Source organism: Homo sapiens, chromosome 9 (assembly GCF_000001405.40).
Source record: "Homo sapiens chromosome 9, GRCh38.p14 Primary Assembly".
Taxonomy (NCBI): Eukaryota; Metazoa; Chordata; class Mammalia; order Primates; family Hominidae; genus Homo; species Homo sapiens.
The window spans coordinates 32,448,095-32,467,455 of NC_000009.12; the positions used below are offsets into that span (position 1 = coordinate 32,448,095).

Consider the following 19,361-nt stretch of genomic DNA (forward strand, 5'->3'; position numbering starts at 1 on the left):
TCAGAGCTGTCAAGCAGGGACATTTAAGTGTGCTGAAGCTGCACCTACAGCCACCCCTTCCCCTAGGTGCTCTGTCCCAGGGAGATGGGGGTGTTATCTATAAGTACCTGACTGGGGCTGCTGCCTTTTTTTCAGAGATGCCCTGCCCAGAGAGGAGGAATCTAGAGAGGCAGTAGGCCTTGCTGAGCTGCGGTGGGCTCCACCCAGTTTAAGACTTTGTTTACACTGTGAGGGTAAAACCACCTACTCAAGCCTCAGCAATGGCCGATGCCCCTCTGCCCACCAAGCTCGAGCATCCCAGGTCAACCTCAGACTGCTGTGCTAGCAGCAAGAATTTCAAGCCAGTGGATCTTAGCTTTCTGGGCTCCTTGTGGGTGGGACCCACCAAGCCAGGCACTGGAGGGAATCTCCTGGTCTGCTGGTTGTGAAGGCCATGGGAAAAGCGCAGTATCTGGGCCAGAGTGCACTGTTCCTCCTGGTACAGTCTCTCATGGCTTCCCTTGGCTAGGAGAGGAAGTTTCCTGACCCTTTGTGCTTCCCAGGTGAGGTGACGCCCCACCCCACTTGAGCGCATCCTCCATGGGCTGCACCCACTGTCCAACCAGTCCCAATGAGATGAACCGGGTACCTCAGTTGGAAATGCAGAAATCACTCGCCTTCTGTGTCAGTCTCACTGGGAGCTGCAGACTGGAGCTGTTCCTATTCGGCCATCATGCCAGCTCTCTCACAAAGTCTTTTGTAAACCTGTGTATCCAAAGAAAAGATTGGAAGTATGTCTAAACTACTGTCTTTATTCATCAGGGAATCAAAGCCGTCCTGGCCGAGAGCTACGAGCGCATTCACCGCAGTAACCTGGTTGGGATGGGTGTGATCCCACTTGAATATCTCCCTGGTGAGAATGCAGATGCCCTGGGGCTCACAGGGCAAGAACGATACACTATCATTATTCCAGAAAACCTCAAACCACAAATGAAAGTCCAGGTCAAGGTAAGCTGGAGCCTCTCTATGCCAGGCCCTGTCGAAAGGGGCCCCCTCGTTTGTAACCAGTCTTGTTAGAAGGAAATTAGTGAGGTTTAGAAGGCAAAAAATATCACTCAGGAGGACTGCATTAGACTTAGGAGGCCTACTAGCATCTTTTCTACCTGCCTTCATAGCATAGGATGATGCCTATGGATTTAATTTCTCTGTTTATTCACAGAGTTATCCTCAGTTCCATTCTTACCTCCCACCCCCTACTGTACCCTGTTCCCGGTCTCTCGTGATGAGAGCTCAGGGATGTGACATTTCACATTACCTAAAACATTTCACTATAAAAACGTGAGCAACAGATATACTCACCCCTCCCTAAGCCTGCCCATAGGCACCAGGCTTTGATTAGCCCAAGAGTGAAAATGATAGATCCCTAGGCAAGGTAAAGATAAAGTGCCCAGCACCAGGTCCCAGGGGTCATTCGGTGCCCCAGACAGAGGCAGTGCAAAAGTCTGTGTCTCAGATAAGCAGATGGGCCAGCTGCCTAAGGGACAACCTTAATGAAATCTCTGCTGATTGAATACTTCTGTCCACAGGGAGCCCCCAGAGGTTTAGAAAATACCACCCTGATGTCATTAATAGCTACTGCCCTGAGAAGCTATTTCTAGTTCTTAGATGGCTCTCACCCCCATCATTTACAGTCTGCAGTGATTCTCAAACTGTAATGGGCAAAGCAGCCTCCCAGAGATCTTGCTGAAATGCATCTTCTGATTTAGTGGGTCTGGGCTGGGGCCAGCAGCCTTGCATGTCCTCATGTGCTGCTGGTGTTACTGAAGTGTGGACCACACCTGAGGGGCAGGCTGGGCAGAATTTCCTCCGAGCAGAGCTGTCTCGCCACCTCCCTCAATGATGCTTCTGTTTCTTTGTGCCACAGCTGGATACTGGCAAGACCTTCCAGGCTGTCATGAGGTTTGACACTGATGTGGAGCTCACTTATTTCCTCAACGGGGGCATCCTCAACTACATGATCCGCAAGATGGCCAAGTAGGAGACGTGCACTTGGTGCTGCGCCCAGGGAGGAAGCCGCACCACCAGCCAGCGCAGGCCCTGGTGGAGAGGCCTCCCTGGCTGCCTCTGGGAGGGGTGCTGCCTTGTAGATGGAGCAAGTGAGCACTGAGGGTCTGGTGCCAATCCTGTAGGCACAAAACCAGAAGTTTCTACATTCTCTATTTTTGTTAATCATCTTCTCTTTTTCCAGAATTTGGAAGCTAGAATGGTGGGAATGTCAGTAGTGCCAGAAAGAGAGAACCAAGCTTGTCTTTAAAGTTACTGATCACAGGACGTTGCTTTTTCACTGTTTCCTATTAATCTTCAGCTGAACACAAGCAAACCTTCTCAGGAGGTGTCTCCTACCCTCTTATTGTTCCTCTTACGCTCTGCTCAATGAAACCTTCCTCTTGAGGGTCATTTTCCTTTCTGTATTAATTATACCAGTGTTAAGTGACATAGATAAGAACTTTGCACACTTCAAATCAGAGCAGTGATTCTCTCTTCTCTCCCCTTTTCCTTCAGAGTGAATCATCCAGACTCCTCATGGATAGGTCGGGTGTTAAAGTTGTTTTGATTATGTACCTTTTGATAGATCCACATAAAAAGAAATGTGAAGTTTTCTTTTACTATCTTTTCATTTATCAAGCAGAGACCTTTGTTGGGAGGCGGTTTGGGAGAACACATTTCTAATTTGAATGAAATGAAATCTATTTTCAGTGAAAACTTGTTGACTTTGAGTTTTGCTGTGTTTGTGGCTAGAGTTTTGGGATATTTAGTACAGAGTGAATCTCACACCATATCATTGGGAAGCCTGAATAACCTTCATATTCTCCCATTTTTACAACTCTATCAGAACTGTACGGGTATAACGGAAATGTTTAGGAACCATTATGCTCGCTCTTCCCTGTTTGGGAGCAGACAAGAAGGAAGAGTAGCCTGGTGGCAGTGGCAACGATATAAGTACATAAGGAAAAGCAGATAAACTTCAGGACACTAAAAACCAATTATCTGCTCATTTTTACCCCTGTAGTCATTTCTGGGCATGCCTTAGTTTGCTTGGGTTGCTATAATGTAATGCCATAGACTGGCTGAAAGAACAGAAATGTATTTTCTCACAGTTATGGAGGCTGGAATTCTGAGATCAAAGTTGAAGCCACTTCATTTTCTGGTGAGGACACTCTTCCTGGTTTACAGATGGCCACCTTCTTGCTTGTTCTCACATGGCATTTCTTTGGTATGTGCCTGGTGGGGGAGAGAGAAAATAGGCTCTCATGTCTCTTCTTACAGCAACACTAATTGTATTGGATCAGGGTCCCACTCTTATGGAGACCCAGGAAAGCTGGTGGTATAACAACTTGGTTCAAGTCCAAATGCCTAAGAACCTGGGGAGGGGCATGGGGAATGCTGGTATAAGTCCCAGAGTCTGAATGCCCAGGAACAAGCAGGAGCTGTGATGTCCAAGGACAGGAGGGCAGGATCTTTGTAATGAATTTTTAATGTCAACCTTAGCACTCAGGGGATATGGCCTGGTCATCAGAACATCTGGAATCTAATCCTCTTTCTACTTCTCACCAGATGAGGGATCAAGACAGGTTATTTAGCATCCCTGCACTTGCGGTCCTGGGGATCTTATTTATATTCATTTAAAAAATAAATTACAAACAAACAGCCAGGCGCAGTGGCTCATGCCTATAATTCCATCACTTTGGGAGGCCGAGGTGGGTAGATCACCTGAGGTCAGGAGTTCTAGACCAGCCTGGCCAACATGGTGAAACCCCGTCTCTACTAAAAATACAAAAAATTAGCCAGGTGTGGTATTGTGTGCCTGTAATCCCAGCTACACAGGAGGCTGAGGCAGGAGAATTGCTTAAACCCGGGATGCAGAGGCTGCAGTGAGCCGAGATCGTGCCATTGCACGCCCGCCTGGGCTACAAGAGCAAAGCTCCGTCTCAAAAAAAAAAAAAAATTACAAACAAACAGAACTCCATTGTACAAAAAAACCTGTGATCCTCAAGTTAAGATCAGTCCTAGAATAAAAACACTAAGAATGGCTGAGAAAACAGACCTCCACCCTCTCAGCTCTCCATTACTGAGCAGCTGGGGAGCTGTCTCGCTCCCCGCATTCAGTGGCTCCTGTGGTCTGTATTTTTGTATCCTCCCCAAAATTCAGGTGGTGAAACCTTAACCCCCCAGGTAATGGTAATAGAAGCTGGGGCCTTTGGAAGGTGATTAGATCATGAGGGTAGTGCCTTTTAAAAGAGACTCAAGATAAGATAGAGACCCCCTCATTTCTTCTGCCATGGGAGAACACAGCAAGAAGTCACCATCCGTGAACCAGAAAGTGGGTTCTCACCAGATACTGAATCTGCCAGTGCCTTGAACCTAGACTTTCCAGCCAGAACTGTGAGAAATTTCTATTGTTTATAAGCCACCCAGTTGATATTTAGTTACAGCAGCCCAACCAAGACTGTGGTTATGAGGAAACAAACACATTATTGTGGCTAGACTAATGGAATTGGGTCCCTTACCTCCAAGTACACCCTCTGTCCTTTTCGGTAAAAATATCTTCGCCAGGCACGGTGTCTCATGCCTATGATCCCAACACTTTGGGAGGCCGAGGCTGGAGGGTTGCTTGAGCCCAGAAGTTTGAGACCAGCCTGGGCAACACTCTACAAAAAAAAAAATAAATAAATAAATAAATAAAATAAATCAGCCAGGTGTGCACCTGTGGTCCCAGCTGTTCAGGAGGCTGAGGTGGGAGGATCACTTGAGCCTGGGAGGTCGTGGCTATGATTGCTCCACTGCACTCCAGCCTGGGCAATAGAGTGAGACCCTATCAATCAATCACCACCCCCCCCCCCCCCAAAAAAAAAAGTATCTTGGCCAGTGTCTCAACCTTGCCCACTAACAAGCCTAAATAAACCAACTTCTTTTACCTGGTTCTTTAAGGGCTGCTCGTCTTACTATCCAAATTAAAAATCTGCTGTTCTCCCTCCCATATTCTTTGCGAATGAAGATTCCCCTGTTTGTTTGGATAGTTTTCCAAATTCATTACTGCATTCCTGGCATCCGCAGCAAGCTAAGAGTTAGTTAATATTTTTAATATAGCAAATAAGGATGAGGGATGCCCTTCATGTGTATTTACACACCAGATTTTTATGGTACATAGGGAGTAATCTAGGGAAAAGATATATTAGGCATGAATCTTAGCTGTGGTAGAAGCACAGCTCAAATTAGCTTAAGGAAAAAAAAAAAAAAGCTGGCTCATAGAACTTGAGGACAGTGGTGGCCATGACTATGGGCTTGATTGGATCTAGTGACTCAAGCTCCCTTCCATTTGCCCCTCCAACCACCCCCCCATCCCTCCACCAATCATACCTTCTGTTGGCCTCTGCAGTAGAGTGGCCTCTTCTGGGCCCTTCCACATGCCAGGGGATATGGCCACCAGCAGTTCTGGGGAAACCATTAGTAATTTGTGATCGTAGAGATTTGTCTCCCAGTATTCCCTAGGGCAAAAATATTGGGAGTTCCTAGTCACCTAAATGAAGAACCTTATTTTTAGCAGTTTCCCTTTCAGGGCTCTAACAGGACTGTGGAGTAATGTACGGGGTTATGTAGGAGCAATGCAGAGCCACTTTTGAAAAACAGTAGCCAAGGTTCTACTGGCTGCCTTCTTAGGACATTATTAAATATCATAAACACAAGTGGAATTTAACACCCAGCCAGTTTGTGTTCAACCAGACAGCGTCATTATGAACAAAGATTATATAACGATAGCTGATATTAAGTAAGTTTTAAAAGTTGACATCCCAAGAGTGAAGCCTACTTATTCAGTACAGATTTGTTGAATGAAATTCGTAGTTTTATTTTACGGCATAATGAAACAGAGTTCCAGACATGTACCTGCCAAATTTGGTTCTGGTTGTCTTATCGTATGCAGGCTGGATACCTGCTACTGTGCTTCTACAGGATGTTAACAGTGTCCCCTGAGTAAAACAGTTCCACGGTCAGTACATTTGGGAACCACTGAGTTAAATGGGTTTTATCACTGCAGAACAGACACAAGAACAATGTGTGCTGTAAATCACTGTTTGCAGGGAAGGTGGCAGCAAATGGCACAGAAACCCACCTGACCACAGACTGCTTTCTTCTGGGCGTTCACGCACTGTGCTCCACAGGATACTCTTGAGAAACATTGAGCTATGGTTGGTCTGTTGTTTGAAATTCAAATAATAATGAATCCATTTTAAGGACAGGAATTGGTTTACTGACCTTGATGTTGGGATGACTCTTCATTTCAGGGTGAAAATATCACAGCATCAGCACAGGCCAGGACCACAGAGATAACAAGGTGGTAGTTGTGTAACAGGTTGTGTCTGAACCACAGGAGCTTCAAAACATACACGGCTGGACACCCTGCCAGGATGCTCTAATGGGGCTGGGCATGTGTCCATGAAAAAGACTCCCCAGTTGTTTCTAAAATGTGGCCTTTGTTCTAGAAATGCAATGACCAGCATTTGGGAGTCAGTCAAAAGATCCACTTCCTAAAAGCCTACCTGCTCATTTCTTTCATTCAATACATATTAACCAAGTGCCTACTTTGTTTGAGTCCATGCCTGGCAATGACATTATTCCATTAAAAGTCAAACAAGGAAATGCTAAGTTCTCCTTATTTATTTTCACTTCAGTCTGCCTGCCTCAGTTGGCTGAATAGGGCTATTCACCTTCATCCAAATTGAATCATTTACATACTTAAAAGAACTTTTCTTGGCCAGGCATGGTGACTCACGCCTGTAATCCCAACACTGTGGGAGGCCGAGGCAAGTGGATCACTTGAGGTCAGGAGTTCAAGACCAGCCTGGCCAACATGGTGAAACCCCGACTCTACTAAAAATAAAAAAATTTAGCCGGGTGTGGTGGTGGGTGCCTGTACCCAGCTATGTGGGAGGCTGAGGCAGGAGAATCACTTGAACCTAGAAGGCAGAGGTTGCAGTGAGCCGAGATCACACCACTACACTCCAACCTGGGCAACAGAGTGAGACTCCATCTCAGAAAAAAAAATAATAATAATAACTTTTATCTTATTAAATCTATTTCTAGTAGATGTTTTACACATCCTATTGGAGTTCTTAAACAATAGTGTATTAGTCTGTTTTCACACTGCTATAAAGAACTGCCTGAGACTGGGTCATTTATAAAGAAAAGAGGCTTAATAGATTCACAGTTCCACATGGCTGAGGAGGCCTCAGGAAACTTACAATCATGGCAGAAGGGGAAGCAGGCAAGTCTTACATGGCAGCAGATGAGAGAGAGAGTGTGTGTAAAGGAGGAATTGTCAAACACTTATAAAACCATCAGATCTCATGAGAACTAACTCACTATCCCAAGAACAGCATGGGGACAACTGCCCCCGTGATCCAATCACCTCCCGTCAGGTCCCTCCCTTGACACATGGGGATTATAATTCAAGATGAGATTTGGGTGGGGACATATAGCCAAACCATATCAAATAGCAATTAAAAAAAATCACATAAGAAAAGACACTCTTAATAAAATACAAATAGAAAATGAAAAAAAACCAACTCATAAACTTGGTTTAAATAATCCATTTGTATTGGGTCTTAGTAAGAATACTACTACTAGTAACTATTATCAAGCAACTACTGTGTCATGTACTTTTCACACATTCTTTTAATTAAAAACTCTCCACTAACCCTTACAGTTCAGTATTATCCTTGTTTTACAGATGAAGAAAAGCCAAAGAGAAGTTATATAACTGGCAAGTTTCTCTGGCTCCCCGCCTGCACCACTGCTCACCAGATTGCATGAAGAGGGAGGCAGCTGTAACACCTCATCCCGTTGATCTCCAGGGAACTCAGATACTTGTTTCCACGTCCAGGAAACCGCAAACTAAGCTCTTTGAAGCATCAGCAAACCTTGCTAAGTGACACGTGAATGCCATTTGGATACATATTCTAATCTTTCAAGTAGAAAGGACAGTCAGACTGCCTCATCTGTAACATCCAAGGGATCTGAGAACAGACATTCAGTCCAGGTGTTGAACATCAACATCATTATAGGAAAATGGTCAAAGAGAACAATGGCACACGTTAAGAGAACATATTAATAGGGCAAGATGTATAGTAAACTAAGTTTTCAAGAAGTATTTTATCATTTTTATGCTCTCTACTAAAAGCTGACCACTGTAGAGTGGATACACATTGCTACATACAGCAACTCTACAGTGGACAGCTTTTAGTAGTAAGCATAAAAATGGCTTTATGTTCTCATGTTCTCTGTGTAGCCATACCACACGTTGCTACACCAGGAACATGAGTACATATAACCATTACATATACATACCTGTATGTATGTATATTAGTTACATATACATATGTACAGTATATACATGTATATATATTGAACCCTTGGAAGGGATCAGCAAAGAGGAGGACTCAATAAAAAAAGACTAGAATAGAACTAGAAGAGAGAGAAGCCCAGGGAGAGCTTCAAGAAGAGTGCTCAACAGGGCCAAATGCGCAGAGGTCAAATAGAAGGTTAAGAAGTGCCCAGTGGATTTGGCAACCAGAGTCACTGGTAACCTTCAAAAGAACAATTTCAGTAGATTGTTAAGGGCAAAAGCCAGTTTACAGTAGGTTAAGGAGACAAAGGGAGATAAAAATTCCCAACATTCCATTCATTCATCTATCCCAGTGTGTACAGAGTGATTACTGTGTGTTTGTTGGCAGTTGACTCTAAAAAGAAGGCTAGAAATGAGGCTTTTTAATTTTTCCCAAGTACTATGAGCTCTGTTGGCCTACAAAATACTCAGTGCTGTGATTCACTCATTTGTGCTTTGCATATATAATATAGTACAAACTGCTAAAGATATTTTTAAAAAATATATTTTCACAGGGGTACAAGCGATCCATGATTATACCCACTATGTTTGTTTCTTCTCCACTCAAAGTTACTCATTCCCTGTAGCTGAAGATTGAGGACCTGATATCATTTGGACATTTCTGCTGGATCAAATGGTATCTTCTCAAAATGAAAGTCCTTCCACTTCGAGTACAGTGTCTGAACTCCAGTTGCAATATCCTCCACCACAAAACTTTCAATTTTTATAACTGGAATCTCAAATGTCTTGTACTTCACATGGATTCCCCAGTCATGGCTGCAGTTCTGTCGGGCACAGAATATCTTTGCTCTTTTTTCAAAACTTGAAAACTGCTTTGGCTTGGGATGTGGTCTACTCACAAAGCATTCCTTAAAAGCATCTCCAAGCACAGTGTAATGGCATTCCTACAGATGAAGGGATGGAATAACACACAAAAGAGAACGTTAGAACCAGTACATAATTGTGATTTAAAAAAAAAAAAAAGAAAACCCCACAATAATCTGAGGCAAAGAACAGGTGGGTCTCACTTATTTTACAATTGGAGGAAAAAAAAAAATAGATTCACCCAAAGTCCAGAGGATCCATGCACCTGACTCCCCTCTACAGGCAGGGTGGGGTTGCAAGTGAGGACACTGGGCACCTCATAAAGAAGAAGATTAAGAAGGTTCCAGGTAACCCAGCTTCTGAAGGTAGATACTCATTATTCAAAAACAGAAGCGATGTTTGCTGAAAATTTGTGAAGCTGAAGTTCACCAGTGGCCCTGGCAGGCACAATCCAAAGGATACAGGGAAAACGACCAAGGTCAAGATGCAATTGAAGAAGGTCAGGGACTAATGTGTCCACAGGCCCCACCTAGAGTCAACTTTAGAGTAAACAGCTCAGAAACAAATGCAGATCCAACATACTAGTCCCTCAGGAAAACATAGGGTCTAAAAGGGCCATTTTTAGTAGAACAATCACCCAAATTGGAGCTGAAAGGACCTTTTACAGCTAAAGAAGCAGACTTAGAAAGGTAAGGGAACTTAGCAATATGACTCCTAATAGGCTTTTTGCCCAAACAGCTGAGCTGATGAGAGATTTCTGCTTTCTGAAGACGAACGGAACATCCTGAAGTAATAACTCCTCATCTGAGCCAGCCCAGCCCCTCCACTGTGCCCCCCATGCAAGAGTTATACCCCATATTTCTCTTTGGAGATTTTTCTAACCCTTTCTCTGAAAGTTTTAAGAAAGAAATATAAGGCTGCAATAGAAGGCTAATCTGCAGATGTCACATTTTACAAATAAGGAGATATTTTGTTTTCATTATAAAAGTGATCCATAGCCCAAAAGGAATGTTTGGAAAACATAAGGTAGTAGGAAAAGAGAAAAAAAGTCATGGAATCTCACCACCAAAATATTAATACATTTTGGTATAGTTCCCCTAGCCTTTGTTTTTCTGTAGCAAGGTAGGTTTTTTGACTTTTTCTCTTGACAATGACAATGAATGTATTTGCTGCTGTTGTTTCACACAGCTACAAAGTAGCATCTTTACAATTCTGTGTTCTGGTTACTTTTTTCCTTATTACCATTAGTTTGTAAGCAGTTTTTCATTATACTACATAAACTTCATAATTTTTTAAAATAAACTTTACTTTGGAACAATTTTAGATTTAAAGAAAAATTGCAAAGATATCCCAGAAAATTTCTGCATACCCTTTACCCAGTTTCCCCAAATGTTAACATCTCATATACCACAGCACATTTGTCAAAACCAAGATAATTAACATCAGTACATTACTATTATCTAAACTACAGATTTTACCACTCTTTCTCTAGTTGTATCCTTTATCTGTTCCAGGAGCTAATCCAGGACACGTCATTGCATTTAGCATGACTTTTTTTTTTTTTTTTTTGAGACAGAGTCTTGCTCTGTCACCCAGGCTGGAGCGCAGTGGCGCGATATCAGCTCACCGCAACCTCTGCCTCCCGGTTCAAGCGATTCTCCTGCCTCAGCCTCCCGAGTAACTAAGATTACAGCCACCTGCCACTACGCCCAGCTAACTTTTTTATTTTTAGTAGAGACGGGGTTTCACCATGTTGGCCGGGCTGGTCTCGAACTCCTGACCTCGTGATCGCCCACCTTGGCCTCCCAAAGTGTTTTGATTACAGGCATGAGCCACTATGCCTGGCCAAAAACTATTTCTTTATTATTGAACATTTAGTATTTTTTTTTCACTTCTTAGCTTTTTTTAAATACACAGATCATGGCCACAGTAACAATGGAAATAATAGTAGTTTTATTATAAATATTTCACCAACAGTAAGCTGTAGCTAGTGCTAAAACATGACCAGGCACTTTGTAAAAAGGCAGCTTACCTCTATCACTCTTACGTCAGCTGTGTAACATGCCAAGGCTTTGCACTTTCTGCAGAGCAGTTTTTTATTTTCCTTATCAGGTACAGGTTTTGGTTTTTCTTGACTATCTCTGATGAATTTTTCATGAGTCTGTATATGCAGAATCTAATGCAAAAAGAAAGACCGCAAATGTAATTTGAGTACAACATATATAGCAAGAAACAGGCACAGATACGTACAATACATATACATGCACGCACATGTATAATCATTCATATACAACTTCCATGAACATATGGTACCTGACTTTGTAAAATCACAGATTTTATTGGTTCTCCTAACTTAGTATTAGTCAATGCTTAATTGTGGCCTCCAATTAGTCTTTCAATTTCTTCATCAAAAATGCTCATAAAAGCACTAAAGATGTCCATAGAATAGTCATATGAACTATGCTTTCTACTTTAGTGTTTGGCAAAACTTGGGAAAAAAAACAAAACCTGTACCAGATATACAATATGCGCTGTTTCAGGCATAATTATATCCATTTGCAGGCACAAACTCAGTGAGTGATACAACAGGCAGAAGAGCCCCTGATATGGTTTGGCTGTGTCCTCACCCAAATCTCAACTTGAATTGTATCTTAACAGAATTCCCACGTGTTATGGGAGGGACCCAGGGGGAGGTAATTGAATCATGGGGGGCCAGTCTTTCCTGTGCTATTCTTATGATAGTGATTGTGTCTCACAAGACCTGATGGGTTTATCAGCGTTTCCACTTTTGCTTCTTCCTCATTTTTCTCTTGCCGCTGCCATGTAAGAAGTGCCTTCTGCCTCCCTCCGTGATTCTGAGGCCTCCCCAGCCATGTGGAACTGTAAGTCCAATTAAACCTCTTTGTTTTCCCAATCTCGGTTATGTCTTTGTCAGTGGCATGAAAACAGACTAATACAGCCCCCAACATCTAAAACCTTTTTTCTCTCTCCCCTTCAGCCACAGGGAATATTGTTGCATATGTATAGTATGATTGTATTCTAATTCAAAATCTAGGCCTTGGCTAAGAACATGGTCCAACTTAGAACCATGGACATGATATTATAAAACTCTTCATACCAATAAACAGAAAGATCTCAAACTGAATGAAAAAAAAAGACAATCATAGATGCCAACACTGAGAAGAGAAAGATTTTAAAGCACCTAATAAAGATGCTTCGATGGGCAATTATAAATACTTTTGAAACATAAAGAGAAAACATAAAGGCTCAACAATGAAATGGAAGACATAAAGTTTAGAACTGAAAGATACAACCAAAATAAAAAGTTCAATGGATGGGCTTTCCATAGCAGAATGGAAGGGACAAAGAAAAGAGTCAGTGAACTGAAAGAACAACAGAAATTACCCAATCTGAACAACAAAAAAATACACTGGGGAAAAAAAAAGCGCAAAGTCTCAAGGACCCGTAGGACTATAAAAAATGATGTCATGGCACTGGAGTTCTGCAAGGAGTGAAGAAAGAGCAGGGCTTAAAAAGTATTCACAGAAATGACCTCCAAATATATCCCAAATTTAACAAGCTACATCAACCAGGATTCAAGAAGCTGAACAAGCTCCAAACAGGATAAACCCCTTCAAAAAACACTCTAAGACAGGTTATAATTAAATTTATGAAAACTGAAGAAAAAAATCTTGAAAGCAGCCAGAAAAAAAAAAAAAAATGACACCTTACCCATAGGGGGAAATCAGTCTGAATAACAGGAGATTTGTCATTAGAAACGATGGAGGCTACCTGGAAGTGGCACAATATTTTTTAAACGCTGAAAGAAAAGAACAGTCCACCCCAGAACCCTAGACTCAGCAAAATGCCACCTTCAAAAATAAAGGAGAAATGAAGACATTCTTAGATGAAGGAACACTGAGAATCTGTCATCAGCAGATTTACCCTAAAAGAATGGCTAAAAGAAGTTTTCTAAACAGAGGAAATGATAAAAGGAACCCTGAAGCCTCATGAAGGAAGAAAGAACACACTGATTTCCTCCATGTCTTCTATGGAAGATTCTGTCCGTCCCACTGGTTTATGGTTTATGGTGGCGCCTCTCCATATCAGATTATGCTTTCACGTGTCCCAGGTGGATCCAGACAGCCTAGGTGCAAATAGTGTCCCTGTCACTTAGCAGCTATGTGATTTGGGGCAAGTGCCTCGTTTCTTTACATACAAAATGGGACAATAGCATCTGCTTCACGGACTGTCAGGAGATAACATGAGTTTATGACTGCTCAGGCCTGCCCAGCACAGGGTAAATGCCCATCACCGTTGCCTCTTCTCTGTTAGGCTAGTCTTATGCTAAGAGCCATGAAAATGTTAATGGGGTGGCTTGTAGTTTTGTATTGATAAGGCAATCTCCATTCATTAGGGATTGCCTTATCAATACGAAACTACTAGCTACCCCCATTTTTATTTTTCTAGAAATATAGCTATTTTCATCTATTTATTATTTTATATAAACTCTAGAACCATTTTATCAAGTTAAAAGTATCATTTATGCTTTCAATATGGTTTGTGACACGTGAATAAGCAAATTTGGGGTGAATGCACGTGTTTAAAATATTCAGTCATTCCATTCAAGAGCATGGCATTTCTTTTATCTTAATATCTCCCAGTAAAATTTTTTTATTTGTCCTCATTTCTGCTTCAAACTTTTCTGATTAGGCTGGTAGATGTAATGGTGAAACAGATGGGTTCTACCAACTCTACCATGAACTAGCTGTGTGATCTACTGGCACTGAAGCTATTCAAGTCTCAGTTTCCTGCCTATAAAATGACATAGGAGGCACTACTGTATGGATTGCTGTAAAGCCTATTGATGTAAGTAAAGCATTTGCAGGGACTGTTGGAGAGTCAGTGTTCTACATGCATGAGCTACACTTATTGTCACTGCGAATGGAAATCTCCCTCCCCCTTATATCTTTTAATTGGTTACGGATCATACATAGATAATATATTGATTACCATACCACTTCAAATTCAAATTTGCTTTATATAAAAAAAAAATTAGATCTAGCTTTTTTTTTTTTTTTTTTTTTTGAGACAGAGTCTCATTTTGTCACCCAGGCTGGAATGCAGTGGCACAATCTCAGCTCACTGCAACTTCCAGCTCCTGGGTTCAAATGATTCTCCTGCCTCAGCCTCCCAAGTAGCTGGGATTACAGGCAGGTGCCACCACATCCAGCTAATTTTTGTATTTTTAGTAGAGATGGGGCTTCACCATGTCAGCCAGGCTGGTCTTGAACTCCTGACCTCAGGTTATCCACCCACCTCAGCCTCCCAAAGTGCTGGCATTACAGGTGTAAGCCACCACACCCGGCTTCCTTTCCCCCACTCCCCCTTTTTGAGATAGATTCCTACTATGTTGCCCTGGCTGGACTTGAACTCTTGGGCTTAAATGATCCTCCCATGTAGCTGGCGCAATAGGCGTGAGCCATCATGCCCAGCTAGACCTAGAATGTTTTGATTTAAAAAAACAAATATACTGGCTGGGCACAGTAGCTCACGCCTGTAATCCCAGCACTTTGGGATATGCCGAGGCTGGCATATCACTTGAGTCCAGAGTTCAAGACCAGCCTGGGCGACATAGCAAAGCCCCATCTCTACTAAAACTACAAAAATTAGTGATGCGTGGTGGCACACACCTGTAGTCCTAGCTGCTTGGGAGGCTGAGATTGCAGTGAGCCAATATCACACCACTGCACTCCAGCCTGGGCTCTGTCTCAAAAAAATAAATAAGAAATAATTAAAAAATTAAAAACCAAATATAATTTCCCCTTCCCCACTTCTTGGCCCCATCCCACCTGAAATTATCTTCATTATTTTTGTAAAAATAAAGGGTGTCCAGGCCTCCTGTTTTTAATCCAATTTTTCAGTTGTAAAACTGTTACATTATATGTATTTATCCCATTCTTTCCTTTGGACAAATTTCTAGAATTGAAATCCCTGGGTTATATGATACACATTTTCCTATGAGCAATTTTAATTTTCTTTTTTAATTTCTTTTTCAGATATGGTTCTAATCACTACTTAAGCAGAATAGAGGTTACCAGGAAAGAAGGTGAAAATATAACCTTGCCTTTCAGGCATCCAACTTTTTAAAAAAATTCACTTATAATGGTATTCAATTATATACTGAAATTCAATTAAATACTAATAATCTCAAATATTTTAAGTGTTACTCTAGGCAATAGGTATAAATCCTAATAAGTTAAAACTATTACAGCTATACTTAAAACTAAGTAAAAATCAATAACTGGGTAAAGAGGCTCAACCAATCATAAGTTAAGTCTATGGCATACTGACCTTCACCCATGCAACCTGTGGCTAAAGAAGCAGCCTAGCTCCACACACTGAGGTGGAGAAAAGCAAACTATCTTAATTATGTGTAGTCATGGGTATGCATGTTGGAAGTTCTTTGTTCAGAATGAACTTTCTTTCACCCCATCTTTATTCTCTGCTCCATGAGGAAAGAAAAACAGCTTCCTCCTCATTCTGATTTCAAATAAACCTTCACAACCACAACTGTCATACCGTTCATCCCTTATTCCTCCAGAATGAAACACCACCAAATCCTGAAGCGTCCACCATGGAAATCAGTTCTTGGATACCTCTGGGCTGTCTACATGTTAAGATGGCTGCAGAGTGACCAGAGAATTCTGGGGCGGGGGATGGGGAGTGCTCTAGTGACAGCAGGCCACACACAGACAATGGACAGTACAGCTGGGGCGCTGGGGAAGAAAGCAGTCTGCCAGTACTCTGCTCATCCCTCTCCCTTTCCTGTTCTTGCAGATTGCCCTAAAGAGCTCCAAGCTTTTGCCCTCTGTTCTGCAGAGTTCCTTCCTTCCGTTAAAACCCATATACAGGGACCAGGATGCTCAAACCCAAACCCCAAACCCTTATCAAAGCACCCACAAAAGGGGGGCTCACCCCTAGAACCATAATTCCCTTTAGTCTTAAGAATATAAGATTTTCCCTACCTCGTTATACTTTTACTAAGCCTTTTTTTGTTTGTTTTTTTGAGACGGAGTCTTACTCTGTTGCCCAGGCTGGAGTGCAGTGGCGCGATCTCGGCTCACTGCAAGCTCTGCCTCCCGGGTTCACGCCATTCTCCTGCCTCAGCCTCCCGAGTAGCTGGGACTACAGGTGCCCGTCACCGCGCCTGGCTAATTTTTTGTATTTTTAGTAGAGACGGGGTTTCACCGTGGTCTCAATCTCCTGACCTCGTGATCCACCCGCCTCGGCCTCCCAAAGTGCTGGGATTACAGGCATGAGCCACCGCGCCCGGCCTTTACTAAGCCTTTGAAAGCAAATCCTTCCCCTTTGAGCAGGGCAGCTGGGCCTGGTCATGTATGATAGGACAGGGATACCAACACAACTCAGGCTTCCCAGCTGCCAGTAACTCCCAGCTACACTGGTTATAGGGCTTCTTGTTCCCTACCATCTCTGCCTATCTATCTGTAAGTGTTACGGGAACCCCAAATGCTATTACATAGCCTGATTCAACAGATACTTAACCCATTTCCTCCTCACCCCACTCCTTATCCTGGTGTGCTGGCTACAAAAGAATGCCTACATCTGGTCTAGCCTCTCTCTTCCTCAACAGACTTTTACTCTGTTGCTTCTGTCACATGAGTCTAAGTAGCTTGTCACCTAGGAGAAGAGATAAAAATTATGCCATGGCTATTAAAACTCGTGGTTTTAAAACGTGTATTGGCAATATATTTTACAAAATGGAAAGGTGGCTCAGTGAAGAGAGAATAGAGAATCCCATCCCCAGTAAAACTAAGGGAGGAACTAAATAATTTCCCTGCAATTCTTCTCACTGAAAATGTGGAAGAGGTGGTTCTAGATAACTTAATCTCCCAGCTTTAGGAAGAAAAATGTTTTTAGACTAGTAAACATTGACAAAGTTTTGATTTGTGTCCTAAAATAAGTGTTAATCTGCTTTAGATAATTGATGGTCAATACTTTTTGGAGCACAGAGATTATGACTTTTTAAAATTATAGACACTATGGAGTTGGTCTATTAAACTGTAAGGTTCATCTTCATGAAGTTAAACTATGTCTCACACTTCTGTCCAGTAACAGCTCTCATTTCTTGGGCACGTATTTTATGCCAGGCGCTAAGAGATGCAATGCATACATCTCATTTATCCTCATGACCACCCTGGGAGTTAAATACTATTATTTTCCCCACTTTTTACATGAGGAGATTGATTATTTAAAAGACAGAGCAACTGCCTGAGGTCACACATCTTGCAACTGATAGAACTGGGATTTGAACCATGGATTCTAGTGTTAAAGCTCTCCCCTAGCCCTGCAGTGATCATGCTTCCAGAGATTCTGAGATGAAAATCTCTGCAATGGGTCTGGAGAAAGTATGGGTATGTGTTTCTTGACTTTCTCCAATCTGATTTCATGTTTCTGTGTTACGGAAATTACAATGAAATGAAGGTCATTACACTAAGAGGTTGATCTGAATAGGCATCCCATTCCAAGGTGTATATCATTGTCCACAGCTATAAAAAGACATTCCAATACCTGCACAGTGACCTAGGAGCTTTTCTCTGAGGACTCTTTGGAGAGAGATTTAAGGAAGAGACTAAGAACAGCTGTTTTTTCCAGTATTAGGATATAGTCCTCGAGATGAACTGTCAACTAGAGAAATCCTAGCTCAATTTGCCTTTTAGATCTGAAAACATAACTTCAGTTATTAGCACTATTAAATATAATTTAACCTCATTGACATTTAAAAACAGAATGAATTTAATATTCACTAAGTATAAACTTTTTGTTGTAATATAACACTCTAAGCAATATGATAAAAGATACCAACCATCCTCCTCACATTCCCTGATAGTTATTTATGGTCAGATGCTGGAAGAATAACGTAGACTTACCTTTTCCCTAAATACTGCTTCGTCCCATGTCTGAAGGCGTAAAATAGAGTCATTCATCATTTTTTCTTTGTACATGTTTATTTGTTCTTTTTCAATTACACCAGCATTACTAGTCAGAAGGAAGCACTTGCTACCTCTTGCTCTTCCTCTGCCTATTAGAAAATAAATATTTTAGTTGGTGTTTTTGACTTAAAGCTCTGATATAATCTGCAAATAGGTAAACAAATAGAGGTACTCCTAAAATTCAACTTTGGTTCACTGAATCCCACTTCCCAGGAAAGTTGAGCTGTTAAAGAGTGAACTCATGAGGCAGGATTGCTTGAACCCAGGAGTTTGAAGCTGCAGTGAGCTAGGATTACACCACTGCACTCTAGCCTGGGTGACAGAGCAAGACCTATCTCAAAAAAAAAAAAAAAAAAAAAAAAAAAGACTCAAATGCAGGTGTGCACCTGCATGTTAAATATGTGGAAAAACTAGGAGCCCACCTTAGGCTGGCTTTCTCAGGGTCTCAACAATGCAGGGTGATTAGACAGCCGTACTGTCAGAAACACTGCTTTAAAGATACCTACATGAACCCCCAGTATGACACTGTGATGGCTCTAAGATGAGCAGTAAACAGGCCCTCCTTCAAGAACCTTCTAGACAATGAGGAAATAAGATCTCTTCATAACCAGCAAAACATAGGTGGAAAATTTTAAGTGCTATTACAAAGACAGATATAAAAGGTTATAGGCTTTATATGTTCAAAAGAGAGATTTTTGCCAGCTGGGAGGATTAGGGTCAGGTGATATGGAGGCAGGGGAAGAGGTAAAATGAAGAGTAGCAGTATCTGAGCAGTTCCGTCAACAAGCAATAAGTGAGGAAGTCAGGTTGGCGGAAGTGGATAATGCACAAAAGGGAAGAATGGGAAATAAAGTTGGAATGAAATAGGTGTTGGATTTTGGAAACTCTTTAGCATCAAGTAAATTGGGGAACCACTGGTGTTTCAATACAAGGAAGTGACACGATCGAGCTGTTTTTCAGGAAAAGTAATATGATAGCTGTACTTATGGAATTTTAAGAAGAAAAGGAAAAAGGAGGAAAGAATAGTTAGGAGACTAGTCAAGTCCAGGTGGGGCAGAACAACTCTGGAGTATCCCTTCTTGAATACAGGGGGCCCTTCAGCC

The 19,361-nt window shown here is 42.0% G+C and overlaps 2 protein-coding genes and 1 long non-coding RNA gene across 12 annotated transcripts in view; 2 read left to right on the forward strand and 1 right to left on the reverse strand.

Moving 5' to 3' along the window:
* ACO1 (aconitase 1) overlaps positions 1 to 6,675 on the forward strand; it is a 70,127-nt gene extending 63,452 nt beyond the window's left edge. For all 4 annotated transcript variants that reach the window (NM_001278352.2, NM_001362840.2, NM_002197.3 and 1 more), the window contains 2 exons: positions 802 to 987; positions 1,904 to 6,675. In NM_001278352.2, coding sequence (NP_001265281.1) covers positions 802 to 987; positions 1,904 to 2,017 — 300 coding nt within the window. In that variant the 3' untranslated portion in view covers positions 2,018 to 6,675. The remainder of the gene's footprint in view (positions 1 to 801; positions 988 to 1,903) is intronic.
* RIGI (RNA sensor RIG-I) overlaps positions 7,208 to 19,361 on the reverse strand; it is a 70,895-nt gene continuing 58,741 nt past the window's right edge. For all 7 annotated transcript variants that reach the window (NM_001385912.1, NM_001385913.1, NM_001385907.1 and 4 more), the window contains 3 exons: positions 18,196 to 18,347; positions 11,277 to 11,420; positions 7,208 to 9,324 (listed from right to left, as the gene is read on the reverse strand). In NM_001385912.1, the coding sequence (NP_001372841.1) occupies positions 9,028 to 9,324; positions 11,277 to 11,420; positions 18,196 to 18,347 (593 nt within the window). In that variant the 3' untranslated portion in view covers positions 7,208 to 9,027. The remainder of the gene's footprint in view (positions 9,325 to 11,276; positions 11,421 to 18,195; positions 18,348 to 19,361) is intronic.
* Positions 10,948 to 17,354, forward strand: LOC101060445 (uncharacterized). Its single transcript, NR_197444.1, has one exon. It is a non-coding gene; the product is annotated as an uncharacterized LOC101060445 (long non-coding RNA).